Source organism: Homo sapiens, chromosome 14 (genome assembly GCF_000001405.40).
Source record: "Homo sapiens chromosome 14, GRCh38.p14 Primary Assembly".
Lineage (NCBI taxonomy): Eukaryota > Metazoa > Chordata > Mammalia > Primates > Hominidae > Homo > Homo sapiens.
In genome coordinates, this window is record NC_000014.9 from 52,049,422 (window position 1) to 52,074,587 (window position 25,166).

At 43.3% G+C, this 25,166-nt stretch overlaps 1 protein-coding gene and 1 long non-coding RNA gene across 5 annotated transcripts in view; one reads left to right on the plus strand and one right to left on the minus strand.

Annotated features, from left to right (window-relative positions):
• The window catches only part of NID2 (nidogen 2), a 64,251-nt gene extending 44,613 nt beyond the window's left edge, over positions 1-19,638 (minus strand). For 2 of the 4 annotated variants that reach the window (XM_005267407.5, NM_007361.4), the window contains exons 1-5: positions 19,346-19,638; positions 18,437-18,742; positions 10,703-10,935; positions 4,599-4,900; positions 4,158-4,517 (exon numbers count right to left, since the gene is read on the minus strand). In XM_005267407.5, coding sequence (XP_005267464.1) covers positions 4,158-4,517; positions 4,599-4,900; positions 10,703-10,935; positions 18,437-18,742; positions 19,346-19,573 — 1,429 coding nt within the window. In that variant the 5' untranslated portion in view covers positions 19,574-19,638. Of the gene's footprint in view, positions 1-4,157; positions 4,901-10,702; positions 10,936-18,436; positions 18,743-19,345 lie in introns of all 4 variants that reach the window. The other 2 variants (XM_005267406.5, XM_005267405.5) reach the window with 1 other exon arrangement.
• Positions 19,639-19,814: 176 nt separating this feature from the next.
• Positions 19,815-24,726, plus strand: LOC105378180 (uncharacterized). Its single transcript, XR_943864.4, has 2 exons — positions 19,815-22,086; positions 22,808-24,726. It is a non-coding gene; the product is annotated as an uncharacterized LOC105378180 (long non-coding RNA).
• Positions 24,727-25,166: the final 440 nt, after the last annotated feature.

Sequence of the window (25,166 nt, forward strand, 5' to 3'; positions counted from 1 at the left end):
CCCTTCTTCACAGAAGGCCCTGGGCCAGACACAGGGGAGGTTCCATGGTGTCGACTGGGTTCACTGGGCCAACACAGAGGGACACAGGAGGCTTCGTGCACAGGGCTGCTTCAGGACAGCTGGAGCAACTACTAACAATTTTTACTGCTACCTCAAAAAAAAAAAAAGTCATTTTCACCGCAGGAAAAATTCTTCTAAGTTTTCCCATCTCTCAGAATGACAGACTAGTTAGAAAAACCATATCCAACTTTATAACAAACAGTGGAATGCTTTTTCGTCCAGTTTTCATGTTTGTTTAATTTTGATGTGTGTGGCATGTAATGATGCTGGTGGCAGTGATCACGACCCTGGGGGTGGCCTTTTACAACTGCTGGCATGACACTAACAGGCTCTCTCCACTTCTGGTGAAGGGAGAGGGGCCCTACCATGGAATCTCCTCATATAGGTGTCTTCACAGGCATCGGGGGGCGGCGGCTCCTGGTCACAGACCCTCTGCAACCTGGAGGTGCACCCAGGGGATGGTCTTTGGCACCTGGAGGGTTGCACTGGCAGCAGAACCTGCTTAAATTCTTCTCAGGGTGGAAGTTGAGCTTGCAACACACTCCTGCAGCCTTTCACAAGGCCAAAAGTGGAGTGGGACTACATGAGGTTTCTGAAAGCCAGGTGTCCTTCCTCCTAACTCATCATGCAGATTGAGATTAAATTAAGCTGCGTATAGCACTGCCTCAGCAGGCTTAAGAATAACTAAGACCCCTATCAGTAAACCTCATTCCTTTCTACTCACAACACAGGCAGTCCCATGGTCCCAGGCAGCTGAAGCCCTCACTGGCAACTCTCTCACCCCACTGCCTTAATCAACCTTTGTCTCTGTCTCTCTCCCTCCTTTCCTCCCTCCTCATTCCCATCTCTGCAACTCCGCTCTTGTCACTTCTCTGTTCATAATGTTTTCACACATTCTCCCTCTCAGACTTTGACCCCAGGCCTGGCTCAAGCCCCTCCTTCCTCACAAAGACTTCCCCAACAGCAGTGACACTCCTGGACAGTGCCTTTGACTCTCTGTCACCCTACAGCTTTCTCTAATTTCTTCATGACTTTGTTGCAGTCTTTGCCCTTGCTAGACAAGTCACTAAGTATTTCCAAGCTCAGTTTCCATCTCTGTAAAATGGGAAGGATGATTGTACCTACCCTACAGGACAACTTTTTTTTTCAGACAATATTTCTCTCTGTTGCTCAGGCTATGCAGTGGTACAATCATGGCTCACTGTAGCCTGGAACTCTTGGGCTCAAGTGATCCTCCCACCTCAGTCTCCCGAGTAGCTAGGACCACAGGTGAGCACCACCACACCCGGCTAATTTTTAAAATTGTTTATAGAGGCAAGGTCTCCCTATGTTGCCCAGGCTGGTCTCGAACTCCCCACAGGGCAATTCTGAGGACTAACTGTGATAATGCAATCTAATGCCAAGTTCTCACTTTAGAGCAGCAGGCTGCACTTAGCAAATGCCAGCCAAAACTTCCACTAGCACCGAGTCAGAGACAGGTACACGGCAGGTGCTTGGGTAACTTTTTGACTTGACAACAAAACGACCAGAGCTCCCTGGAAACAAGACTCCTCAGAGAAAGCATGCTTGCACATCCATCTACTGCTGTTCTGTGGCCTAGGAAGACAGAGCTCGAGTGTGGCCAGGACATTCCTGCCTGGTGTAGATATGATCTGAAAATCTAAATTTCTGAACAAAAAGAAAGGTCTGTAAAATGAGTCCCTAAGGGGAAAAAAATGTAAAAAGGAGTGATATTTTCTGGGCCTTTAACTAAATCTTAATTTCTTGGTTTAGCAAGATGACTACCCTAAAGCTTCAAAGGGAAACTAAAATGTATTGGGCAGGGTGCTTCCCAAGCTCAATTTCAGTTCTTGCAAGTATATGACGAGGTCTTCATTAACTCTGTTTTAGAGCTGAGGAGAGCCAAGGGTCAAACAGACTACATGTCTTGCCCCAAACCACATAGCAGAGCTGGGAGTCAAGGTCAAGTCCAACCAGCACCAAAACCATGTGCTTTCTATTCCATCAGCAGAAAAAGCCAGGCAGATGCCACATGGCTGGGTACTTAGTACCGGACAATGTTCTGTGTCTCTGCCACTCCCACCCCACAGCTTCCCGGAGGAAGCCCACACTTACCAGACAGACCTCTGAGCCTCCAATGTTTTATGTGAAAGAAACAGTCACTGCATCCCCTCAAAAGTATTTAACAATTGCATGCTTCTATACTTCATACATCCCCGTAAATTCTTTTAAAACAAAAACTGGATTTTTTTTGTCTAAGTTTCAAACACTTCTAGATTTCTTCCTCCAAAATGCGTATTAACCAGCTTTTTCACAGGCGTTTTTTGCCATTACCAGGATGTCTATAGTAGACTGCATCCGGCAGCTGATAAATATCATAGTTCATGCCCCACAAGGGTTATAGCTGTGCCTCTGTTCTACTCTATGGCTGGTTCCTGAAGCCTCCTGCACTTTACTCCAGTGATCTCAAGCTCTCAGAGCCCAAAGCAGGGTGTGCAGTCCCTTCTTAACCCTTTAATACATGACTCCATAGATCTGCTTTTTAATATTCCCACGCTCTTCCCAGGGAAGGAAATCACAACCCACAAATGAGAAGGCCATTCAGGAATGCGTCTTTACCTCAAATCCCTTTGTGAAAATCTTTGATACTTGGCCTTAAAATGTATTTAGAGGAAACTCATACTGTAAATTCTGGAGATTCTCAGAAGGATCTGAAGGTTCTAAAGACTTCCAATAAAATTTACATCTTCAACTTCATGGAAATGTGGTCCCTTAGGCACAAATTAATGTGAAACTCTTTAATAAGCACATTCTTCATTCTCTACCCATCCTCCACCCCATTCCCACTGTTTTAAATCTTCTAAAATTAGTAACAGCAGCCACTATTTATTAAGAACCAGTGAGTGCAGACACGAAGCCAAGAACTTCACATACGCTGTCTCATTGAATCCTCCCAAGTAATTCCTGAGAAATCAGAGGCTTATGGGTTACATAAGTTACTTCAGGTCACCCAGCAAGCTTGGCAGCCAGGATTCAAACTCGAAGCCGACACCAATGTACTCCCTCGAATCCTTACACAATGCCACATTAGTCAGAAAATATTTTCTTCCCTCCTGAAATTAGTACCTCTCCATGCAATAGCCTGCAGATAATACCAGAGCAGAACCCAGAAGGCCCTCTCTGCTAGGTCAGCCATGTTTTTGCCACAACAGTGACAGGAAACAGAAAAGGTGGAAAAACATGGAGATTCAGAACAAAGCAGTCACCTCTGACCTCTTTCTTCCTATCAGAGGTCAGATGAGCAGTCCCTGGAACAAACAATCTGGAGTCAGTTTCCCATTCACATCTTTCCATGTCTGATGGGGAAGAAACAGCTGGCATGACAAGTCTCAACAAGGACTAGAAGACTGACATAGACCCCATGTCCATGATAATTAACCACCGCCTGCTTTCGCCATCTCCCTCCTCGCCTCTCAGTCCGATCAGTGGGTCATGAAATGAGGACAAGGCTCCAGGGAGGTTCATGCCACAGCTGCATAGCCATGAACCAGAAATGACAACAGACACAGGTGTTTAGTCATTTTCTTTCCCTGTGGGCTCTCCTCTCCCACACATCACAAGCATATCTCCCCAACCAAGGGAAGCGCTAGGCTTGTCTCACAACAGAGTATGAATCTGGCATGTTCATCTGAGCCAGCACAACTCACCACTTTAAAAAGCACAAACCCGTCCATCACTGGAATGTGTATGAAGCCGCAAAATGTTTTACCTTTGCTGAACTTTCAAACTGAAATAGTTCATTACACTTGAGAGCGTAGCTGGCATAACAAACCCAGTTTTCCCCCACTCACTTCATGAGGCCCATATTTTAAAAAAACATTATTAATGATCAAGAGATTCCGAACAGAATCTGCCTGCCAAGATTTATTTGGCAAAGGAAATTTACTCTATCTCTTGAAACACAGGGATTAAAAATTAGATCCAATCTTCTTTTTGCTAAACTTTTCACCTACCCACTTAAGAGAAAAATCACAACGCTATGCAAAACCAGCATGGTTAAGATGAAACCTTAGCACCCAGTTTTCTAATGCACTCACCCTCGGTGTTGGAACCTATGTTGTCTTCCAGTCCCACCTCATACGTCCCTCGACTTAAGGGTGTAGTGTGACCTGAAGCAGGGTAACTTCGAAGAACAATTTCTTCTTCAGGATGAGCTGGGGGAACATCCATTTCCGAAGGCACTGGCCCTCCATCTGGGTAGGGCTGGATGCTTCCGTTTTCGGGGTACGGTGGTGGGGTTTCCCAGGAAGGAGCCAGTGAATCTCTGTCTACCTCTGGTGGAGCTGGGCTTCTGGTCTCTCTCTCATCCCAGGGCTCAACTTGGCCTTTTAAATCTGGGCCCCCTACCTCTCCCAGAGATGTTCCTTCTTTGGTGTGAGGATCCAAGGTGGAAGATTCTGTTTCAGGATAGAATGGCCAATAAGTAGGTGTTGGATGCAAGGGGGAGGACAGATCAGAATCTGGAGGGGAGATCCTACCCTCTAAAGGCTTTGTATCCACTTTGGATTGGAAGGAAACATCAATGCTGCTGTGGCCATTCAATGCCTCCTCTGGTTCACCCGGAAGGTATTCAGCTTCCTCCTCATTCACATCATAGTAATCCAAATTGTCCTCATTATAGTCACTTTCCAGGGCTGTAGCATGGCTGAAGGAACGTCCCAGGGGAACAGAAGAGTGGGCAGCGGAAAGGTCTCCAACTGCAGCTGGCCTGACATTGTCCAACGGGGAAGTGCTGCCGATATGGAAAGCCCACACTCCAGGGATCCCCAGGTTGCTTAGTCTAAATAAAAAGGAAACAGTCATTGTAACAAATGTAACAAAAGTGTCCATTCACCCACCTTCCTAGAAGGTGAACAACTTATTTTAAAACGGAAAGACAGCTGGGCATGGTGGCTCACACTTATAATCCCAGCACTTTGCAAGGCCAAAGTAGGAGGATGACTTAAGCCCAGGAGTTTGAGACCAGTCTAGGCAACATAGTGAGACCCTGCCTCTACAAAACCCTTTTCTAAAAAACTTAGCCAGGCATGGTGCCACATGCCTGTGCTTCTAGCTACTCAGTAGGCTGAGGCAGGAGGGTCACTTGAGCCCAGCAGTTCCAGGTTACAGTGGGCTTTGGTTGCAACCACTGCACCCCAGCCTGTGTGGCAGAGTGAGACCCTGTCTCAAAAAAACAAAAAACCTGAAAGGCTATTAAGATCAGGTTCAGTTTTCACTGGTATATAAAACCAAATAAAAGCAGACTTACATGGTAACTAAAGGGATCATACTGGACTTTTGATGTGAACTACCTTTTATTTAACATTATGTTTCAAAGCTGTATGCCACAGAATGCCAGATCATCAAATTATCAATCTGCCCCATAATCCAAATGGTTTATCTAAAATCTGGCTATTTGAAAATAAACAAGGAATGTAGGAATGTTTCATCCTTCCTCTACTTGTCTGGAAACATAACACATTTTAAAAATGTATGCTTAAAACTCTACCAAATACTGACACCCAAATGACTACGACATACTTTCATGAATTGGTGATGCCCCTTCCCTGTGCCAAGTGTTTCACATTCTTCAATACAATCTGCAAATAGAGGTGATCATATTCAATTTTATAGAGGGGAAAATAGGCTTTAAAAGGCTAACTGATCTTCTGAAGGTCACATAACAAACAATTGGATCCGAATTCAGTTAACACCAAAGCCCATGCTCTACTCATCTATGTTATATTATGACAGAAAACCATACCACACACTGCAGTCAATAAGCATCTGAATTATCATTACTCTACAGAATATTAAAGACATTTCATTGTTTATTCACTTGAACTGATTAATTCCCTAATCCACAAAGAATGGTGAGTCAATGTAAAAAAATTCAAATAAATACAAATGCCAAAACCTAAAAAATTTGTTTTTGCACTGAAAAAGTTAAGGAGCAAATAAGAAAGTAGCTTAGAAGTCTTTTAAAGACTTCTGGAAACAGCTCTCTCGTTTTCTCCATGAGAAAAGAACATGAACTCCATTGAGTTTCCAAATATCCCAATAACCCATTATTTTAGAGTCAATGGTATACCCTAAAGAGAACAACTACATATGATTTCTAAAAATATGGGAAAACTTGAGTGAACAAGAGTCTGGTTAGGTTGAATATGCCAGTTTGTATACTCCTCTGATATTTGTACAAAACACTATGCTCACATTCTCCCAAGCAATGGAATTTCCTCAAAAGTCAGTCAATGAGGAATAACAGTCCATGCCTAATAAGATAATAAAAACTTCACTAAATTGTATAAGAACAAAAGATTTTCCTTCATTTGGGTGGGTACTCATCATGTTCATGTGGATTTCTATAGTAACAATATTTTTCAGTACAATTTGAAAATGTCTTTCTCTTGTGTGTGTTTGTGTGTGTGTGTGTGTATGCATGTACATATATGTATATGCTGTGGTTACTGTTGTGGTAAATTTAGGGAAAAAAGCATAGAAAGAAAAACTGATTTTGTGTGCAATATGCTATACATATTTGTTAAGTTCATAAGAATTAATGTTGGTGTTTATTGGCAAGCAAATAAGGAAAACTAAAGACAGTAGGAGAAAATCCTGAAGTTCTGAGGATATTGAGTTTATTATCACATTAGAGGTGGTGCAACTATGAAATTTCTTCTTGAAGTTAGAAACAGAAACTATAAAATCTTCAAACAGTGGAAAAATACAGATTATGGCCAATAAAAGCTAAATAAAATAACCTTCTAATTATATATAAATCACTATCTGGGTTTTGTCATTATGCATAATGGAAAAGTAACCAATTTGAGTTTATTTTAAAATCCAAGGTCATTTGGAAAGCTTAGTAATAGAAAGAACTTAATTTATTTCTACAAAGGAAAATTGGGTTACAAAATGGGATGACAATGCCTTCCTCCCTGGGTTGTTAGGAGAATTAAGTGAGAAAACCACATTAAAATGCCTAGCACTGACCAGGTACGGTGGTTCATGCCTGAAATCCCAGCACTTTGGGAAATCAAGGTGGGCGGATCACCTGAGGTTAGGAGTTCAAGACCAGCCTGGCCAACATGGTGAAACCCCACTATAAATACAAAAAAAATAGTCAGGTGTGATGGTGTGTGCCTGTAATCCCAGCTACTCTGGAGGCTAAGGCAGAAGAAAAGCTTGAACCCAGGAGGCAGAGGTTGCAGTGAACCGAGGTCATGCCACTGCACTCCAGCCTGGATGACAGAACGAGACTCCATCTCAAAAAAATAAATAAATAAAATGCCTATCACTGGCCCTAAACATCATAAATACTTATTAACTACTGTCTTGTCTTCCAGAAGATAGAAAAGTATGATTTCAAAATATACACGTGTGAATTCGTATTTAAATTTGCAGAGGAAGAGTATGACAAACATTATGAACTATATAATTTATGACCTTTGAGCTCACAGTTGTGAGACAAATTTGAGGAAGAAAACAATTGACTAGGAAAATAACTTTACTCTTAATTACTTATTTATTTAGAGGTAGGGTCTCCCTCTGTCACCCAGGCTGGAGCATAGTGGTGTGATTGATCATGGCTCACTGTAGCCTCAACCCCCTGGGCTCAAGTGATCCTCCCACTTCAGCCTCCCAAATAGCTGGGTCTACGGGTGCACACCACCACACCCAGCTAATTTTTTAAATTTTTAGTAGAGATTAGGTCTCGCTATGTTGCCCAGGCTGGCCTTGAATGCCTGAGCTCAAGCAATCCTCCCACCTTGGCCTCCCAAAGCGCTGGGATTAGAACCACCTTGCCCAGCCTAACTTTACCCTTAAGAGATGCATACTAAGGCATTTAGCAATGAACTGGCATGATGTTTGTGACTTACTTTAAAACATTTAAACAGGCCGGGTATGGTGGCTTACACCCATAATCCCTGCACTTTGGGAGGCTGAGGCAGGTGGATCACCTGAGGTCAGGAGTTTTAGACCAGCCTGGCCAACATGATGAAACCCAGTCTCTACGAAAAATACAAAAATTAGCCGGGTGTGGTGGTGGGCGCCTGTAATCCCAGCTACTGGGAGGCTGAGGCAGGAGAATTGCTTGAACCCAGGAGGCAGAGGTTGCAATGAGCACAAGATCACACCACTACACTCCAGCCTGGGCGACAAGAGCGAACCTCCGTCTCAAAAAAAAAAAAAAAAAAAAAAAAGAAAAGAAAAAAATGTAAACAAACAAAAAAATGAATATGGCAAAATGTTTACAATGTATAAATCTAGGTGATGGGCATTTGGGTGTTCATCTAGTTATTCTCTCCACTTTTCTGTATATTTTTGAAATTTTAAATAATGAAAAGTGAAATAGAAGATTATATTGAAGGACATTTCTATAAATTTGATGTACAGAAGTTCTTCCTAAGAATAACAACAAGATCCAAAATCAGAAAGGAAAAGACCAGTAACTTTGACAATCTGAAATGTACAACTTTTAAATCATACACCCTTTCTCAGCAATTCCACTTTTAAGAATTTGTTTTAGGGAGAAACGAGAATGTGAGCAATGTTTATTATGCTGTTTACTGCAATGATATTTATAACAAGAAAAATCAGAAATACATGAAATGTTCATTAATAAGCTGTCTTTATACATATATGACATAACGTTTTGTAGCCTTAAAATGGTAGTATAGACAGACATCTGACTAAAAGACCCCTATAAGAAGTGATTAATGTGAAAACACCACTTACATAGCAAAAGAACCATTTTGGTTTTAAAAGTTTTGTATATACCTAAATTCTAGAAGGACCATTAACACTTGTTATCACTTGAAGTAGTGATCATGGATAACTTTTACTTTTATTTCACATTATTCTGCATTGCTTGTACTTTATTATTTGTATTAAGCATGGATTACAATAAAGAAAAATACGTGAGTCATTTGGCCCCATATCTTACTCTGCTTTCGCCAAGCAATTCAGAGATTTCTGGGAAGTATCAAAGATAAAAATGAGGGAAGGCATGAAAGGGGGTAAGTGGAAATGCTGTCTGTGTGTTTGTGTGTCACACGTGATTGTGGATGTTAGTTCCAAGAGACCTTTATGGCTCTGCTCAGGGAACACAACTGCTTTTTCCCACAGGTCTTTTGGCCCCACTGTCTCCTGTCTCCTGTGTAGATGCCAGCACTTACCCAGGGCTCTGTAATTGTTGATCTATTTGTCTATCAACCCTAATAGGGTACAAGCTGCTGATGTGCAGGACCAGTGTCTTAGAAATCTTTGTATTCCATGTGCTTGGCCATTGTGACCTCTCTATAATAATAAATCTATGGAATAATAAATCTATGAGCTCCCAAGTAGAAGAGAGGGTGGAACCAGAGGAGGGAGAGTAAGGAACTGAGTTTGCTCCAGAGTCCAGACTAAGCGGCAGCCTAGATGGAGCCCTAAAGATGCCCAATGTGGATCATAAGGATGGGAAAGGAAACAAGGACTCAGCATAAGATAAAATAAGTAGTTCAGCACTCCAGACTTGAGCTTGGATTTTGGCTTTGCCACTTAACTTTGAGATCATAGGCAATTTACTTAACTTCCCTAAGCTCCTCTGTAAAACTGGGAAAATAGTAGTACTAACCTACAATTCTTGTGAGTTTTAATTAAGATAACATCTGGAAAGTGTTTAGCATGATGCTTGGCAAGTAGTAAGTTTTCAATAAATGTCAGCTCTGAGTAAGCAAACCTGGCTATAGTGGTCTCTTTCTGGTAGCCGAGCAGAGTGGATGGCATGCTAAAAGTGTAAGGTGTTTCTATACCTACCCAGGATTGATTTAATGAAGTCAAGAAGCAGTTAAAGGAGGCCAGGAAGTAACCAATGTATTCTATCTGGCTTCTATATTCAGGAAACGAATAAAAGCGAGGGCACCCCTACCTCCCCTCACACACCCCCCAAAAAACCCTGAAGTCAATAAATATCCTACTGGCACTATCTGTACTGGCAAAATGCAGAAGAGCTTATTATTGCACTAGCTAAGTAAGCCCTCTGGATCATTCATTCATTCACCCATCTATTTATTAAATGCCCATTATGGGCAGACACTGATGAGTCTAAGGAATGGGTTCAATTCATTTTAGGTAATGAAGCCAGAGAGACATCCTCAGACTTCTGGAAACCTATAAATCTTAGTTATTTTTCCTGCAAATTACATTGCTCAATTTAATGTTTAACAGTATCTGTCCAAAAGACTAAATCACAATGTTTCCTCCTGTGAAATGATTAATCTGGAAAACCTCAAACTGGGCAGTTTATGACTGGATATTTTTATGTGGTTCCAAGAGCAATGTTTTTCATAGCAAGCCTCAGTGGCTCTACAAATACACACACATACTGTTCTGTTTCCAGTATCTATACCCAATAGAGCAGGAAAAATAAAGGACCTTTTATGTTTTGGTGAACTTGATCCTTCCAGGGTTGAATCTAGTTCCTTGGTTTTGACTTGATGCCTTACTTAGAAGCCACCAATATATTATGTAATGGTCTTATGGTCACTTGTGTTCAGGTACTTCCTAAAAGTCCTTATATTCAAATAGGAAAGGGCTTCAGCTCAATGTTACTTACTGATAGAGATTTTTCACAGACTGTTCAGTGCTAGTCAAGCTGAAATATGGTCCTTCTGACTTCAGATCATCAGCCTCCCCTCGGCAGAAGCCCACCCGAGCTGGAAGCTGAAGCTGGACATTGTAAGACTCTTTGGGGCGGGTTCCAAGGAACTGCAGGCCGTTGGCAGGATAAAGAAAGAGGGCGTAGCTATCAGACCCATCAGATGCCAAAACTGCCTGGAAAGTGTTCAGCTGTGAGGAAAAAAAAAAAAAAAGAGAGAGAGAGAGAGAGAAACATCCTGTAAAAAACAAATAAAAGAAGAAAGAAACAGAATGCAAGCAAAGCATCATAACGTGCAAAGAACTTCCCCTTTTTCAGGATTCCTCCAAATTGTTTTTAAACATAACCTTCTTTAAAATTTCCTCTTCAAGTTAACAATATAATTTCATAAGCAATATTATTTATTATTGCAAATACCATTTGTCAATTTAGATTAATAGTTGAAATACGCATTGGTAAAACATAGGTTAAAAAATATATACTTTGTAAGGTTTCAAACTTCTCTCATGTAAACTCTTTCAGAGCTAAGAGCAATCAGCAAAATTAACTTGTCCATCCTGCAGTCACTGCCCTAGTTTATAACCCTAGGCACTCAGCATCTCTCATTTGCATCATTCATTCATTCATTCATTCATCCATTTATTAAATGACCACTATGGGCAGGCACTGTGTTAGGCACTAGTTGGTCAAAAGGCCTCCTTACTGTCTCACAGCATCACTCTCTTTCCTCTTCCATCTACCCTTTCATACGAGCATCAGGGTTATCCTCATTTCACAGATGAGAAAAAGACACAGGGGCTAACAGGTCTTCCTCAGGTCAGGTGGCAAGTATGTGGTGGTGGGCCAGCCAGCTCTAGAGCCCACACCCTAGGACACCCTAACCCCTCCTCAACATGGCATTCAAGGTGAGTTGTAACCTGGCTGCATACGTCCCTCCCAGGCTCAGTTCCACTGCATCTTTGTCAGACTATTTAATAGTCCCCATTTGTACCATGTCCTTGGATGCTTCTACACTTTGTTCGTGGTTCCCTGTGCCTAGAAAGCCTCCTAACCTTCAAATGCTGCCACTCAGAGGTGTTTGTGATTCCCTATAGAATAATTTCTGTTCTCTGAACCTCTGTAACACCTTTATGGGCATCTCTAGTGAGCATTCACCTCATTATGCTTGGTTAGTTGTTTATATGTTTGTAAACACCATTCATTTATTCATTCATACACTAATTCAAACAGCCAAGTGTCTACTTAAGCACCAGACGTTATGCTTGATGCTGAGGATGTGAAGGAGCAAAAGACAGGCTTTGCCCAGGAGAGTCTCACGGTGTAGGACTGGGAAACAGCCATGGTTGAAATGGTAGGAGAGTCACTGGAGAAGGTGGTAGAGGCCAAGAGCCGGGGTGTGTGTCCAGGATCTCAGGGTGGAGGTTGGGAGGTGTCACAGAGGCAGCTGGTGAATGTTATAAACACTGCAGGAGCCAACACAGACCAGAGAGGGACCAGGAGCCTGAATCAGCTGCCAATTCAACACCCAGGTCCTTATAGGATCACTCCTTAACATTCTGTTTACCCTCATATTTTCAACAAGATGAGATTTTTGCCTTTACCTTCATTCAGCGACCGCTCCTCCTAAAGATCTGTGAACAGTGCTTGATTCTCAAAAAGCTGTTATGTTTAGGCTTCTGAAACTGTCTCTCTCTCACTAAATCACACTACTTTTACAATTTAGTAAGGAACTGGGAAGGTATTTTTAAAACACAACTTACTTCACAAATAATGTGACTCTTAGAAATATTATTTACTGGTAAGTATCATTACCTTTCCATTCTGCTAGACAGACAAACTCGGGCACAGAGAAGAACATCACATTTCACTGAAGGAAACAGCAAGGAAGGAATGGGCTCTTCCCTTTGTTCTAAGTCTACTCCCACAGTTGTTCTAGCTCTTTTCTAATGTTAATTTTTCCTTTCAATGTTTAATTTCAAAGTAAGGTTTTGAGGTTTTGCTAATAGGATAAAGAAATATAGATGTAACACACTTTTCAAGAGAAAATAAAATACAATCAGCAGTTCTTTTAGTTCTCTAACCCAGAAAAAACAACATCTTGCTTTGCTTTTTTCATTCATTCAATTCACAAAGTAACAGGTGCCTAGTTTATTTGTTATTGTTCCAGTTGTTGATTGTTCATCAGCAAAGCTTGACTTTTCCAAAAACAAAAAGCAAGAAATGTTTTTAGAGCTTCTCAATACTAGGAAGCCACAACTACTGCCAAATATAAACAAAGGCTGTTCTGCCTCATGTCTATCCATAAGATAGTCGACATCATCAACTAATGTGGACTCAATAACTTCAGAGTTATACATTAGTCAGAATAAAGAAAAATCAACTAGGGAAAGAAAAGTACTAGAGGAAGGAGAAAAAACCCCATTTCAAAAAGCTAAGCTTTCAAAGCTCCTGGCATTGATCTGCCATAATAAATGTGAGATAGGAGAGAATCCTGGTTCTAAATTTAGAGAAATTCCATAAGATAAGGAGGTTGTAGAGACTGTGAAGAATTGAAGGGGATGGGGAAGGGGGGAAGAGAGTAGTAAACAGAGCTGTGAAGAGGAGAGTCTGACTTTTTGCTGTGAACTCTGGGCATTTAGCACTTTATTTTATTCATTCATTCATTCAACCAGCCAACAAATTCATTTCAATTAAAATTTATTCAACATCTTCTATATACTGTTCTTGAGATGAGCACTCATTATGGGTGGCAAGTATTTAATTTCTTTGTCTCCACCAAAATAGGCAAATATCAGAGGAAGGAAACAACTTCCTTTTAAGTAGAATTTATGATCCCAAAGTACACGCCAAAAGAGTTTGGCTGTTTAAAAGCCACCCACACACTAAATGATCACTTGTAAAGTTCTTGGTCAGTTCTACAAAATTCTACATCTAATTGCTAAAGAGCCCACTTCATGAAGTCTTGAAGGGCTCCCCCTCTCAAAAAACTCCTTGACTGGCTTCCAAACAGGAAAGGTCCTCACATTCCTAGATACAAGCTTTTGCAAGAGCCGCACAGGCTCTGTCTCCAAAGAGAAGCCCTCAGATGGGCTGCCAAACCTGACAAACGAGTCACTGGTTCCCAGCTCCCCCAGGATCCCAGAGAGGAGAGAGGGGCCTCCACAGGGAGAGGAGCAGCACAGAGAGGATCAGGGTGAGTGGCTGCAGGCCCTGTTATCAGAAAGAGAGAAAAGCCAGAGCCCTCTGCAGAAACCAGAGCCTGACTCTCCCTCCCAGGTACAGGACATCCCAATCAATGTTGAAGTGACACTCATCAGAGCCAGGCTGATGCATGCAACATACACCCCTCTAAGAGTTTCTAATTTTTTCAATTCATTTAATTAACTGCAGCTATCTGGACAAAAATCAGAATAGTGACATCCTTTTCTTCAAGGGGCTTGCCTATAGAGGCTTATCAAAATGAAAATGAAAATGGAAATGAAGAATTAGGGTGACTCTTATAGGGGTCACAAAGTTCTCTTTGTCATCTTCCTCAGGACCACATGTCCTCTAGAGCTCTAGGATCATTGGGTCTGGCCTCCAGTGTTTGCTGTGAACACTAACCTCCATTCCTTAGTGTAGTTCTTCATCTCCCACTGCCTGTAGGACACTGTCACATGGGGGACTGTCCCTCATTTATTTTACTGCACTAAATCCTACAGATCCTGCCAAAAATTCAAAGACAAATGCTGAGTGCTATCACATCCCTAATACTATATCCTTCCTGATACTCTTCAGCAAAACGTCAGCATTTCTAATTTCCATATATGGTTCAGCATTAACCAATTTCCATATATGTCTCTATTCTCTTCATCTTCACAGTGATATCTCAGACTCAGTCTGAACTCTCTTGGATGGGCTGTAGACCACCCCTCTTCTAAACCTTGTCTCCAGAAGTCAAAAAGCTACAATAAAGTCCTGCTTTTACCTCTCATTTTCTCTGTGAAATCCAACCACCTCCATCAATGACTATCAACCTTTGAACCAAGTCAACATGTCTCAGTCTCCACCCAGATGGAGGCCTCCATTGGGCAGTGTCTTAATTTGTCTTCTGTTGTTTACAACAAAATACTTGAAATTGGGTAATTCACAAAGAAAAGGAATTTACTTCTTACAATTATGGAGGCTGAGAAGTCCAAAGTTGAGAGGTCACATCTGGTGAGGGCCTTCTGGCTAGTGGTGACTGCAGAGTGCCAGGGTACTTACGGTATCACATGGCGACAAAGCTGAGTGTGCTAATGTGCTAGCTCAGGTCTCAATTCCTCTTCTTATAAAGCAACCAGGCCCACTCCATGATAATCCAGTAATCCATGAATGAATAAATTAATCCATTCCTGAGGGCAGAGCCCTCATGACCCAGTCACCTTTCAAAGGCCCCACCTCTCAATACTGTCACATTGAGGATTAAGTTTCAACATGATTTTCAGAGGGGACAAATATTCAACCATAGCGGGCAACCTTGCACTCATCTGTCTTATGTTACTGCCTGTGACTCCTTCATCCATTTCTCTGGCCCCTTTGCTAATAGGTTGCTCTCTCAACCTTCTCCTGGGTCATGTTTTTGCTCAGAACAATCTCTCTTGATACCTCATTCTCAATATCCATTCTTTTTAGCCCTTTCAACCTGACTTAAATTCCAGATAAACAAAACATTCCCCACATTACAGAGATCTATATAACTCAGCTGTCTCTAACCCCATCCCTAAAATGACAAAAACAAAACACTCCTCTTTCCCCACAAAAAGCACAGCTAAACATTAGTCCTCTATGTCTCCCATCAATAAGTATTTCAAAGGTCTACACCATAACTTTTTTGCTCTGTGAACTACCTATGAGAGTTCAAGAAATCTCAGATTAACTGAATTGACAAACACTATTTGTTCACATTTTTTTTTCAGATACAATTACACCTTGACATTCCTGCAATATCAGGTGCAACATCTGGTCACACCTGACAGGAATATCCATGGAGAAAAAGGGCACCAACTGCAATTGTTTTTAATGGCAAAGATGCCATTGCTTTGAATCTTCCAGTTTCCAGTAACTTTGCAATATAAAGTTAGTAAGCCAAACTTTAAGAACGCCATGTAGAACTCAGTCCTTCAAGCAAATTAGATTACTGTTTGCCAAAGTCTATCTCCAAAGAACTATTAAAACAAGAACTCAAGTCCCAGAGCTCTTTAAAATATTGGAAGAAACTTCAATGTGGGTAATTGAAAGAACATCCCCTATCCAAACAGAATCCTCCTTTCTTTTTTTTTTTTTTTCCCCTTTCTTTTTTATTTATTTATTTATTTATTTATTTATTTTTTATTATACTCTAAGTTTTAGGGTACATGTGCACATTGTGCAGGTTAGTTACATATGTATACATGTGCCATGCTGGTGCGCTGCACCCACTAACGTGTCATCTAGCATTAGGTATATCTCCCAATGCTATCCCTCCCCCCTCCCCCAACCCCACCACAGTCCCCAGAGTGTGATATTCCCCTTCCTGTGTCCATGTGATCTCATTGTTCAATTCCCACCTATGAGTGAGAATATGCAGTGTTTGGTTTTTTGTTCTTGCGATAGTTTACTGAGAATGATGGTTTCCAATTTCATCCATGTCCCTACAAAGGACATGAACTCATCATTTTTTAAGGCTGCATAGTATTCCATGGTGTATATGTGCCACATTTTCTTAATCCAGTCTATCATTGTTGGACATTTGGGTTGGTTCCAAGTCTTTGCTATTGTGAATAGTGCCGCAATAAACATACGTGTGCATGTGTCTTTATAGCAGCATGATTTATAGTCCTTTGGGTATATACCCAGTAATGGGATGGCTGGGTCAAATGGTATTTCTAGTTTTCTTAATGAAACATTCTGAAGCCAACTAGCAAATGGTAATGTCTGCAGGTGGATTTTAATTAGAAAAGTAAAAGAGAGATGGAATTTACAAATCTCTTCTACCCTAAACCTCCCCCACCCCAGAAAAGGACCAGACAAAAGTTTTAATTCCAAAAACCTTGCATTTAAAGAGTCCTTATGCAACATAGAGAGTAACAGGATGGTTACCAGAGGCTGGGAAGGGTAGTAGGGGTCAGGGGAAGGTGGACACAGTTAACGGGTACCAAAAAAAAAAAAATAGAAGGAATGAATAAGACCTACCATTTGATAGCACAACAGGGTGACTATAACCTGTGATAACAGGTTATTATAGTCAATAATAACTTAATTGTACATTTTTAAATAACTAAGAGTGTAATTAGATTGTGTGTAATACAAAGGATAAATGCTTGGGGGGATGGATACCCCATTCTCCAAGATGTGATTATTACGTATTGCATGCCTGTACCAAAACATCCCATGTACCCCATAAATATATACACCTACTATGTACCCTCAAAAATTAAAAAATAAAGAGTCCCCATACAAAAGATATAAGTCACAGCATCCTTACAAGATAGAGATCAGTGACATGGGCAAGCAACCTCACCTCTTACAGGGGGCATGTACCATCCTTCTATAGTGAAGAAGCATTTCCGTAAGTTAAAATTGAGATGAATCATATGGTTTCAGCCCCTAGAGTATGGTATTTTAGATTCAGGTCTAATTCCATAGAAGGAAGCCCTTACTTTCTTCAGGAATGAGGCAGTTTGCCATTTACCAAGCACGCTGGCCCCACTCATATCCATTTGGAGGACTTCAAATGTTGATGACAAGACTAAAGACCAGGAGCCTGGAATTTTTTACTTTCCGCAGGTAGAGACTGTAAAGCACATTGACGGCAGACTCCTATAAACTAAGAAACTTGTAAACTGGTACCTGGAAGGCAATTAGGCAGAAGTTATCAAGAACTTTATCAAAAGTGCATCCTCTCTGACCTACCAATTGCACTTCCTGGAATGTCAACTAAGAACATGTGCAAAGATTTAGCTTTTTAAAAAGTGATTCACGCTATTATTTATAATAATGAAAAACCAGAAAAAGCCTTAATGGCCCAACACTGGTTGAGCATACTGTGGTACACCCACTATTATACAGGATAATAGCAGGATACAGTAGTATGCATCATTATAAATGATGTAGAAATACATTTATTGACATTGAAACATATTTACAATACACTATTCTGTGAAAAAAGCAAGTTATAAAACAGTATGTGCAGTGTAAACTCATCATTGTTAATAGACAGCAATAAAGATATGCAGAAGAAAAAACTCTGAAAATGTACGCAGAAAAATGTTTATCAGTGGTGGGAAAATGAGTGGTTGTTTTCTTTTTTAAAATTATCTGTATTTTCTGATTTTTTCCCCTTCAATGAACATATAATTAGAAATACTTGTATACTTAGAGATGGTTCTAAAAATAAGCAACCAAACAGTAAATTGCCTTATGTTCAAAGGGGCTCCCACATCTGCACTCCCGCTCTCATATCCGCTAAGCATTTTTTTCCTCAAGGGAGTGACCACCTGCCAGGGCCTCAGAAGATGCCTAGAGACAACGTCTTTCCTCACTCCCAAGCCACTCCAGCCCTGCTGCCTCCAAGGTCAGGTTCAGCGCAAGAGTAGGCTCAGAAACAACTCCGAGCCAGTCCCTGGGTCGCTGCCCCAGAATTTAAGCCCATCCTTCAATTTCCTCAGCAGTCAAATATCCCTGGTCACTTACCTCTCCCGAGGGCAGCGCCCCGCGCTTGACCTCCTCGTAAGCGCCTACCTGCTCCCAGGTGGCCAGGAAGGCGTGGGTGGGGGTAAAGCGCGCAGAGCGCGGGAAGCCAGCGCGCACATAGCGGGCGGCCAGGCCCAGCACTGCGGGGGAGGTGTCCTCTCGGTACAGGACTCGGCCTCTGCCGTGGCTCGTGTCGATGTCCGCCAGAAAAGGGGCGATGGCCGGGAAGTCGGTGGGGAAATCATAGTCCACATACTGCGTTTCCCTGGGGAAGTCCTGAGTGGAGATGATGCCGTTGGTGCCCACCTGGGAGAGGAGAGGGACAAAAAGGTGACAGTCGCTCAAGCCCAAGGACGCTACCCTTTCGCGCAGGGAGGGAAGGGAACTGACTTAGGCAAAAAGCCTCTCTCTCCTTCCCCACTGGCCAGGGAGTCTGGATTCAGGGAAACAAGCGCAACTTTTGCGACTGTCCCAGCTCCGCGCTGCAGTAGGTCCAGGGGCCCTAAAACTCGTTCACCTATCTTCTCACTCCCCTCACAACCCCGGAGCCCCATGTCCTCGGAGAGGAAGCCTCCAGGTCTGAAGAGGGAACACCCCAGCTCCGCAGACGGGCACAGCCTTCTCGCGGTCCTAACTGCAAAGCCCGCTGGCCGCCCTAGCAACGCCACCTTTTCTGCCTGGGACGCGTACGTGGCTGCGAACAATTCTTGCTCTCCCCTCCAGGTCATTCTTGCTCCCCTACAGCAGCGGGGCAGGCAGCGGCATCGCTCTCTGGCCGGGTACCACCGCAAGGGTGCTGGGGGGCTCCAGGAGTGGGGTCTGTTTCCTCCCCTCTGGAGGCAGGGTTTCCGTGAGACCGACCCCAGGGAAGAAGCTGCGGGAAAAGTGCCAGGAGGGGGCTGAACTTACGTAGAGGTTGCTGAATCGGGCTTCGTAGAAGTGCAGGGGATTCGCCAGCTTCACCACGGCTGAGCTTTCGTCGTCGCCTTCCTGCAGGAGCTGGTCCCCCCACGACTCCCCGTGTGGGAAGAGCTCGTCTGGGTGCAGCGCCGCGGCCCGCAACATTAGCAACGGCAGCAGCAGTAGCACTGGTAACGACGACAGCACCGGCCGCCCGGCCACCCGGTCCCCCTCCATGCTCGCTCGGCCGTGCGCTTACCCGCTGCACAACGCGTCCCGCCCCGGCCTCCAGCCCACTCTCCGCGCCGCGCCAGCCTCGAACCTGGATCTCCGCGGGCGCCTGGGCGGGGCGGGACTCCAGGCCCACCCAGCAAGCTAATTGGCTGAGGCCCTCGGCTGGGGACCAATCACCGGCTCTGAGAAAGTTCGGCAGTGGCCACCACATCTGGTTCTCGTTAACTTTTCTAAGGCAGCGGCCGCTGGAGCAGCGGGGCTGGCGGGGTAAAAGCTCCTGGCCAGGGCTGCCTGGAGCTGCCCCTTCCACTCCGCCCCCAGGGAGCTCCCGGGTCATCCTCTCATCCGGGCTGCCCCGCGGCCCCCAAGGAGCCCCACCCCCGGGACCAAATGGCCCGCAAGGTTTGGGGCAGCGGCGTTGCAGGAGATGAGCTCAGCGCAAAGGGAACCCCGCAGCGGCGAGTGCGGCTGCTGGCCTGCGCGCTGTGGCCCCAACAGGCTGGCAGGGCGCGGGCGGGTGGCGGGGTTGCGGTATGAGCTTTGCTCCCTGCCCTGGGGTCCCGGGCGCTCCTGGCTCTGGAGGCCTGGCCATCGGTCCGAAAAGCAAAGGGACATTGTCGTGGTCCCCTCGGCCGCTTCGCTCCACCCAGAGACGCCCTGAGGAGAAGCGAGCCTTTGTACGAAGGCAGAGGGCTGACTCCTAAGTTCTGTCCCCCTCCCGAAGGCCGGCCGCTAGGGAAGACTTGGCCACCCTCTGGAAGTACCTTCCCCCGGGAAAACCGCAGCAGGAAAGACCATGAAATACTACTGTGTGTGATCCGCTCCGTTTGGGGAGTAGGATGAGGCATCCCGCTTGGTTACCAGGCAGAAAGGGGCGAGTCGCGGGGATGGGAAGACCCTGATCTCTTGCCCATTGCTGCGGCCGTCGGAGATGCCCTCCCCCGCGGCCACGGAGGCGGTAACCTGAGCTGCTCCGCAGGACTGGAAACCGCACAACCTCGAAACCAGCTGCGCAGGAGAAGGGGAACCCCATCCACCATAAACATCCCCTCTGCGAAGCCTCAGGAGCTGGAGGAGATTTTATTACCATTTTTATTATCAAGAGCTTAAAATTTCCCAGACAGTCTGTTTTCTCTCCCAGGCCCCCCATGAGGTCCTTAAAAGCAAAGATATTTAAAAAGAACGAAAGAAAGAAAAAAACCAAAAAGCAAATCCTTGGAAATGCCTTAAAGGACTCTCCAGAGACACACTGCTCTTTGTAGGTGTTTATTCCTATGGGCCCACTGGACCAAACGCTAAAAAACGTGAAGACATCAGACTGTGAGACTCATAGAGCAGACACAAAATGGAAAACTGGCCCAAAGCAGTTTGCTTCCTCAGAGTGGAGAGTTGTATATTTGATGTTCCAAAAATATATTTATGCTTGCACATATATTTTCTCATTCTTTCTGGGGTCAGGTATTTTTATTTTACTGAGGATGAAATGAAAGTTCAAAGACAGATGACTTGACTTGCCCAACATCATCTGAAGTTACTCCCTGATATAAAACTACTGGCCCTCTGTAGTTTTACTTTATCTCTCGATTCAGCATAATAATAATAACTAACATTTATTTAGTGGTACTAAGCTATGAGCTTTGGGGCAAGCAAACACTGAGATGGTCTCCAATGATCCCCATTTCCTGGTGTTCATTCCCCTGTATAATCTCTGCCCTGGGAGTGTGGACTGGCCTTGTGATTTCTAACAAACATAGTGTGGCAAGAGTGATGAGAAGAAGGCTAAATAAGATTGTGGCTTCTTCCTTGTTAGTTGACTTTCCCTCTCATTGATTTTGATGAAGCAAGCTGTTATGTCGGGGAGGCCCACATAGCAAGGAACTGAGGAGGGCAGCCTCTGGCCAACAGTCAGCAAGGAACTGAATTCTGCCAACAACCATGTCAGTGAGCTTGGAAACGGATCCTTCCCCAGTTGGGTCTTGAGATGGTATCTCAGCGCTGGCTGACATTTGATTGCAGCCTTGCAAGAGACCCTGAAGCAGAGGACCCAGCTAAGCCAGGTGCAGATTCCAGACCCACCAAAACTGAGAATTATAGTTTTGGTTAGATTATAATTATAGTTTTGGTGGGATTCCAGACCAACCAAAACTGAGAATTACAGCTTCAGCTTCAGAAGCTGAAGAAGCTGTGTGTTGCTTTAAGCTATTACATTTTGGGATAATTTGTTATGCAGCAATAGACAACTGATAACAGGTAGTCGTTGTGTTAAGGAAACTAAAGCTCAGATGGGATTTTAAAAAAATCAGTTATTATCACATGGCTGGTAAGTACCAAAGCTGAGATTTGAACCCAATTCTGTCTGATCTCTAAACCTCCACTCCTAACCACTAAATTATATTGCAGCAAGGCCCTTTGGAAAGTAGCTCTAGTTTATGTCTCTAACTTTATCTCCCGTCACAGCCACCCTGAAGTCTCACCTGAAGCTGAGACTTTAATTCTCCAATACAACATCCTCACAGGTAAGTCCTTTTACCTACAGTAAAAGGTCAATTTCTTGGTCAATTTCAAGCCAACACCTTCTCATCTTTAAGGCTTGAATCAAAACCCTCCTCCTTCAGGAATCTGGGAAGAGAAAAGAATTCCCCACATCTTTTGCAAAAATCTCATTAATAATCCACCCCATTTAGCTTATAATCAATAAATAACCATAAGTATAATCAGTCAAGCAGCCGACGCCACTGCTCTGCCTATTCTTTTGTTTCTTTACTTATCTAATAAAGTCACTTTCACTTTACTTTGTAGACTCACTCCAAATTCTTTCTTGCACCAGATCCAGGAGCCCTCTCTTAGGGTCTGGATCAGGAACTCTTTCCAGTAACACTACTGCCCCCTTTTGAGCTATGTATTCATCCTTGAAACTGCTTGCTATTGCCACAAGTAACTATACATTAACCTAATAATGTCACACTGGACACTATCACTCATAGCCTATAGCTTAACAGTGCATAGCCAATCAGTGAGCAATGTTGTTTCTGTAAACCAATGTGAATTCCTTACAAACAATTTCATATCGGCCTACTCCCTGTCCCCCTTTTCTGCCTGTAAAAAACCTGCTTGTAATAAAGGCGGCATGAAGCTCATATCCAGGGTTACTTGGGTCTAAGTCTTCCGGGCAACTGTCCTCACTTTGGCTCAAGTAAATGTTTTGTTATATTTTGTGCCTCTGTCTTTTCCTTTCAGGTGGACGAAGCTTTCCTGGAATCCACAGTCTGATTTAGAAGCCCTTTCTCCTTGCTTCCATGTGCCCTGTGCTTGCCGTGATCATACCTCCTATCACACATCTCTCCCATAATCCTGATCTCCACATGCTTCCCTTACCACCACCACCACCACCACCACCACCACACCTGGAGGGCAGGGATTTTGCCTTCTTCAGTGTCTGCCGCAATGCCTGCCTGGCTCACTTGAAGTGTAAGAAATGTTTGTTGAATGAGTGAAGACAAGCAAGCCAGCCTGGGACTAGGACCCATGTCTGCTGGCTCAGAATGCAACATTCTTTCCCCTACACCACCTTTCCTGCTAATCTGACCTGACTCTTGTAATCCTCTTTACCAGGCTGCCTAGCAACTCACCTACCACTGCTCTCCCATTTTTGTCATTCTTTCATTCATTCATCCATTCAACAACAATTTCCTGAAAGTACACCATGACAAACACAACTCTGCAAGAAATAAAGGAGTACAAAATGTGGCCCCTGACCTTAAAGAGCTCATGATCTGGTTGGGGAAACAGAGCATAAGAGGATGTCACTAGTTTTGAATCTGATGCAATCTGAGTACAAAAAAATAGTTCCAATAGAGAAGATGCTAAAACGAACAGTTTTGTTTTCCTGTCTGCATAAAGTGGCTGAATTCTCCCTGAAATAGGAGGCTTTGGACAGCTGTGCTTAAGAGAACATGCCTTTGAGCTTTTATTCTGATATTATTTTTAAAAGACGCTATGGCACCAAGAGTGGTTTCTTCTTTAAAATGTCATTTTGTGTCTTGGGGAAAAAGAAAAAAATCTGCCGTGGCTCTTTCACCAGTCAAAGTAAATACTGAAGAAATACTTTGCTTGTATCCACAGCTCTCTTTGCAAGAGTAGAATTTCCATGACCTGCCAGACTGGCTGAAGAGGCAAAGGCCCCTTTCAGGCTGGGGGTTATAGAGGACGTCTGTAGCAGTTTTTACCCTTCTTGGATTGGATCCTCAGGGTACATCACAGCATTGCTTGAAAAGTAAGATTATTTAGATACAGGGCTTTTCATCAAGCCAAGGATGCTACCAGATGCCTTGCCAATAGACCTTATCAAGAGTCTCCACAGTTACATATTTTTTGTGGTTATATTGTTGTTATAAATACCAAGACTTCAAGAATGATGATACTTCCTGTTATTTTAATCATGAGAATGGAAGCATATTTGCTCCACAGTGTGGCAAATGGATGTTGGTATTTAAGAGCAAGTTCTATGTATAGCACCGATGGGTGTGTGTACATGTTTGTATTGGAGGTGGGCTTGGCAGGAAATGTCCCAGTTCTTGTTGCACACAGTGATTCTTTGCATAATTTTACTATCCATTAAATTCCAGGGTGTGTGTGCTAGCATGTAGAGAAAATAGACTCGAACAAGTTAGTATGTCTTCACAGACTCAGGCTTAATTGAAAGTAGGTTAGGCCTAAGGAGAACCATGAAGTGAGAAAGTATTTAAATTAAAATGTGCAATATGAAAAGACTGTTCAAGCTTTTGATATGAATCACTGCAGATGCAATTCTGCTGTGACATTTTTAAGTAGAGAGAGGGTTGGTGTGGCAGACACTATTGGAACCTCTCCCAACAGCCATCCCCTCTTTTTTTTTTTTTTTTTTTTTTTTTTTTGGTTTTAGAAACCCCATATTGTTCAGGTAAAGGGTGCAATAAGCCCGGGAATGATGGGTTGCTTCCTCAGCCCTGGCAGATGCCCTAAGATTGGTGGAAGCCAATCATGATTAAGCCTTTCACCCTTATAGTGATACAGTCTCCTGTAACTTCAACCCTTCCCTCCCTGTTGGCCTCTTCCCCTCTGCCTCTAAATCCCCTCTGCCCAGTCTTACCCATAAAAATAAAAAACAAATTTCCCTACTTATTTGTTGCCTTAGTTTTATTTCTCTTACTTTCAAAAACTCTACTGGAAAGGAATTTATACTTCCTGCCTCCTTCTTTCCACTGCAAAAATAATCTTCCCAACCCCATCACTGAACTGCTCAGGGAAAGACCAACAGCAAAATCATATTACCAAACCCTATAGGTAGTTTTTGTTTTTATCTTACTGGGCCTTTTTGTTTCTGATCCTACTGACCACTCATTTCTAGAAATTCTCTACTCCCTTGACTTTTCCAGCCATTTTGTTGTAGTATCTCCTGTGAATTTCTCATGCTCTGCTTCCGATGTCTAAATGTATGGCATGACCATGGCCTACTGCTCTTCTCATGTCATGCTGTCCTGGAGTGTCTTGACTCCTCTGATGGCCCAGCTTCCCACCTATATTCTAATGACTCTCAAATATATCCCCAGGCCTGAGC